General features: G+C 40.7%; 2 annotated features.

The window, feature by feature from the left end:
• Positions 4,715–4,859: an enhancer, noted in NCBI's record as "145 bp enhancer 104 fragment used in the MPRA reporter construct; PK_construct_11". NCBI's record gives its function as "activates an SV40 promoter by MPRA in HepG2 cells {active_cell/tissue: HepG2}" and the evidence as "EXISTENCE:reporter gene assay evidence [ECO:0000049][PMID:23512712]".
• Positions 4,781–4,794: a transcriptional cis regulatory region, noted in NCBI's record as "HNF1 motif; enhancer activity is reduced when this motif is scrambled". NCBI's record gives its function as "necessary for full MPRA enhancer 104 activity {active_cell/tissue: HepG2}" and the evidence as "EXISTENCE:site-directed mutagenesis evidence [ECO:0005528][PMID:23512712]".

Consider the following 5,366-nt stretch of genomic DNA (forward strand, 5'->3'; position numbering starts at 1 on the left):
AGATGGGGAGGGAGAGTGGTGGGAACAGGAAAGGAAGGAGGAAGCCTTCTAGAAGGCTGAGAATTTGTGCCCAGGAGTAACTGTGACTCAAAGGCACGGTTTACATGACAAGTTAAGGCTAGGTCCGAAATCAGATAGGGCTAAATGTTAAATTTTTAAAGGTGTGCAACAGAAATGAGTTATCTTGTCAGATTAGTTATAGGAAAAGAAGCCACATCTTACATTCTATCTAGCTGTGCTTATGGACTGTAGCATGAGTGGATTTTGCTTCATTTGCTTCTTGTTTCATGAATGGCTAAGTGTGTGTTTATGTGTGTGTGTGAGATGTGGTAGGTGTGGTGGGGAAAGGAATAAAATATAGTTTCACTGGGAACATACTCAGTCACACATGAGTCCCACTAAAATGAAATTGTAGAAAACATCCCAAAGTATAAATGTATTTGGCAATTATATCAGACATTTTAGCATTAAATATCTCACTTCTCACTGGTTCCTCATGGCAGAGTCAAACCAGAGGACCTTAACCAGTGCTTTCCGAACACAGACGCCCACCCCCCAAAATGTGATTTGCAAAAGGACCGTAAGGCACACTCTCTACCACCATCACCATCTCCATCATTACTTGCAGCGAGCATCTACTAAGCTTACTCTATGTTAAGTACTCAGCATTCTCTACTAAATGCTTTACACGATCATATTCAGTCTTTGCAACAACCATACTAACATTATCCCCATTTTAAAGATGAGGGAACTGAGGCTCACAGATGAAGTAAGTATTTAAGCCAAGAATCAGGGTCATGTATTAATAGTTCCAAAGCCTATGCATGTTTTTTTCCATTCTACCATGCCATTTTCAAGCTTCTTTTGAAGATGACACTTTTAGAGAACTTTCTGGTATCTCTGAAGTTCAATTTTTGGGCTTTCTGTTCTCTAGGTTCTATGTCGATGTGGCTCAGAGCCAGTAGTGTAGGGTACAGGAGAAACCTTCATCACCTCATCTTCTCAGGGCCCTACTGCAAGCCAGCATCTCCCCTTCTTCCTCTCTGCTTCAAGATCCATGGAGGTATATTCTAATATTTTCTAGTATAGTTATCTTTATTTCAGTTGGTTAAGTATCAATTTTCTTATCTAATATCCTGAAGCACTTCTCTCTACCACCTGTCTTATTTTTATCCATCTCTAGGTATAAAGTTTTTGATAAAGAAAAGTGTCATTAGACACTACCTTCTCTTTATCAAAGGTTTTCCAGTACGTTAATAAGGCTTCTCTCTGGGAATGTTTTACAAATTTCAAATTGGATAATCAATTTAAAATATATGCAATCCAGCAAAGAGACAGCAAATACCACTAACGCTCTTCACTTGGTTTGGCCAAATCACTCACCTGGGAAAAAGTAGAAATACACCAAAATGCATTTAGAAAAATGTCTGGACTCTCAGAGCCCCAGTGTTTCCAGACAAACACTGACAGTTTTAGCTTTTCCTATTACCAAGGCAAAAGGTTTTGCTTTTGATTCTCAGCTTTACAGGTTTCTTTTACCTTTGTCAACCTAAGTTTTCCATATTTGTTAACCTCTTTTAAAGACATGCCATGTACAGTAGCGCTTCCTGGCTAGCATGCCCATCTTGTTCCCCAGCCCACTGTGCAGGCCTTGATCATTCTTTAAATCCCAGATCCTAGTTCCCTCTTCCATGAATCTTCCCAGACCTTCTCAGCTCCCATTCATTTCCCTTTCTTGGGAACCCTACAACACTCATTAAGTGAATCATTACTTCTGGCATTTAATTGTGTACTGCCTGAACTATTACTTATTATTTACATGTATGTATATCTTCTCTTTCCAGTGACAAAACCGGTTTCTTACACGGAGGTAATTTTGTTTTGCCACATATAAGTCCCTGCAGAATGACAAATAGACATTTAATAAATGCATATTGAATGGATGAAGGCACTTTGTTTCAAAGGGATAACCCTGGAGTTGATTTGACTCAGGAGAAAATACAGCTCACACAGCTCATTGGAATGCTTATTGTTTTGCCATTTCCTTGTAGTGGAAAGTCCCAGTCAGTTATCAATTAATAGTATCAACAACCATTTTATCTAGTGCTTAACAGGGGATGACATCCAGAGGTAACTTCACAGACAGAGCCTGTTGTGAAACAGGTTGAATTCTGCCACATTTTACTACCTTCCTGGTCTCAGACCAATCACTTAACTCCTGCAATGCCACATGTGGAAAATATATTCTGTTATCAATGAGTTTACAAGCCTGTGATACTACGCTCCAGAAGCCAGCAGGAATGTGATACTGGTGTAACTGAGCCCCTGGCTTTGCAAGTTTATACACTTAAGCATCTCTGAGTGAAAAGCAATTATATAAACACAAAGGAACCATTATTAGAGAAATCATATTTATGTTCCCATATTGTATGTGGTCAGAGGAAAGCAAGACAAGGGCAAGACTTGGGCAAGTGACAAGACGTATTAGCAGTGGCAGCAACAGTGCTGGGTAAACAGTTGTAAATCTCAAACGCTGAGCCGTGTTAACATTTTACAGAATGCTTTGATCCTTTTCAGTAAGATACAAAGCAAGAATAAATTCACACAGCCTCCTTGGAGGTCAGTGTGATTTCTCTGTTTCTGTGGAAAAGCACTAACTAGTCACATGCTAATTCACAGTTTGATGCTCATCAAACTGGAGCAGATGGTTAGAGGTAGGGATGACATACAAAAAAAAAAAAAAGAAAAAAAGAAAAAAAAAGAAGACTGGTTTCCCCAGAACCTGAATGGAGATCCTGCAGCTAAAAGAGGTCACCCATCTCTCTTTTGGGTGTTCTTTTTAGACATCCAAATGCAGACTGGATGGTGCCTTCCCAGAAGAGCATGTTGTGGGTCATCTCTCTGTGGGGATAACTGGGGAAGGAAGCTTCCTCCCAAAGGACATGCAGCCAGAGTATGGTTTTACAGTAGAATCTAAGAATATTAATAATTCGTTGAACATAAATGACCAAGGAGCTCTATTTCAGTAAGAAGTTTCCGGGAGAAGTTTCAAACTGTTGTAACTGCCAAGTATTAAGGGGCAAGATGCCACTAATTCCCAGTGGATTAAAAATACTGCTAGTTTTTCTCAAGGACATTTCAATCTTGGAAAGAGTATCAGTTTAGAAACACAAATTAAATACTATCTTTGAGATGAAATGAAACCTGAAGGAATTAGACAATTCACCAATAAGAAGGACTTTTCTCAAGTAATCTTTGAACTGTGTGTTCTAGAAAGGACTGTATGTACTGAGTGGAGGCAGGGGGATGAGAAGAGGAGCTGAGGAGGAGGAGTCTGAGGAATGTGGCCTGGGGCTACTCAGATAAATTGTTACAAAGGAGGAATGTGACCTAGGAACCAATCTCCATCTCTTGAGGTGTCTGGGCCAAAACATGTTTTATGACTTTGATGATAGAAAAAAATCTATGTATTTTGACTGCTGATATAATGAAGATCAAAGCTACACAATTTGGATGAAAAGAACCCTACTGTCATGTTTCAAGTTTTGCAAAATAAATGATGGAATGATCTTTAGATCACATGGCTGAATGTGAAGATTTGAGTACCTCACAAAAAAAGAATCTTGCAAATGTATACAGAGAAAATTATGATAATGCAAATAAAGCCCTTTAATTTATGTTGCATGAAAGAAGTTTAAAGTAGGAGTAAGTAAGCATGAGTCTATGTTAATAGAATAGCCACCATAAATAGGAATATTTATCCATTGTTTACAAATCCATAGAATTATTAGATGAAAACTATACCATTCTAAATATGTAGGACTCTTTATCATCCACTTACAAAAGTAATGGCTTTAGTATCTATTGTTTACTTATGTCTCTACCATTCCAGAAATTGAGTAGAGCAGGTAGCGCAGAGGGAGGGAGAAGCAGCTTCAGAGGTCAAGTCTTAATAGACAGGCCCTGGACCTTGACCTTTGGACACCCTAACTGGGCCTCTTCTACCAAACCAGACCATGAGTTGCCCCCAAACCAATTCTTCTGAAGTAACCAAATGTATCAATGAATGAATATTAAAATGAAACTTGAACAAGCCTCAAGTGCAAAGGGGACTAAGAATGGAGTCTGGTAGGGAGAGGCACCCCAAAATGAGAGTGGTGCAGAAAGAAAATTAAAACAATTCTGAAAATGGGTTTCTTTCATTTCCGAGTTTTGCTTCTGTCAATCCTTGGGGACCAGGAGAATATGGCAGCACAGGTGCTTGAGAACAGGTTGTGCTGCGATTTAGAAAACCTATTGACTTTAGAGAAGTTACATAGCCTCCCTGGGCTTCTGGAACCTCATCTGTAAAAGGAAGAGGTTGGATTCAAAGATGTCTTTTCTGCTCTAATATGTTCTGGTTTCACCAAGCAAGTCTTTGCCTGGCATCTAGAAAAGATCCTCAGCCCAAACAAAGCAACATCATCCAGAAGGAAAATGCCCTTCAGGTCTGTTTCAGGACTTCAGTGTTCACCACGATGGTGAGTGACAGCCTTTCTTGGCCACCAGCTGTCTGGAGCGACCCAGAGGAGTGGCAGGCATTGCCCTCAGCGGGGCAAGTGAGGAGGAGCTGCAGAGGCAGAGGAGAGACAGCAGGGTGGAAAGTGACTCAGGAATGAGACTGCTCTCCCCATTCGACTCTCAGTCCAAAAAACCACACTCCTATTGTGAAAATTAGACCTTTGAGCAGCGTTCCATGTGTTTATTCTACTTGTATCAAAGAGGCTTTCATCTCCCTAGAGCAAATTATTAACACATTCCACCAAAGTTGTGAGGGTGGAGGCCTGGCCTTGGAGAAAAAATAATCACCATCATAATAAAGAGTTGCCCGAAACGTGAACTTAAGAAAAACTAACATAAAAGCCCCCACTTTTAATGATAGTGGTTGGAAAGGCGCCAAGGTCCTTGTGCCCAGGGGAGCATGGTTGGCTGACTCCTTGTCCGTGGGCTGACCCTTCTGTGTCCAGGAATTTTCCATGAGCAGGCCGTAGTGTGGGAGGTGGGGACTTTTGCAGGTTCAGCAGGTTGAGGCACTCACAGCCAGTTGCCCTTAGCCTTAACTGGAGACCAGATTTTGTTGGCTGAGTGAGCAGTGGCTCTCGATTCCAGGCAATAAATCTTTGCTTCTCAAGATCATTTGGTTGGGAAGAGGAGGGAGAAAAATAGAGAGGAGAGAAAGAGGGAGAGAGAGGAGAGAGAGCGAGAGAGAGAGAGAGAAAGAGAGAGCAAGAACAAGAGCCAACTCTCAGATACAGCCAAGAGGAGCAACAGATATAAAGTAAGCCCAACAATATTTCAGTTTCATGAATGGATTATTCCCTAAAGGG

This window comes from Homo sapiens, chromosome 5 (assembly GCF_000001405.40).
Source record: "Homo sapiens chromosome 5, GRCh38.p14 Primary Assembly".
Lineage (NCBI taxonomy): Eukaryota > Metazoa > Chordata > Mammalia > Primates > Hominidae > Homo > Homo sapiens.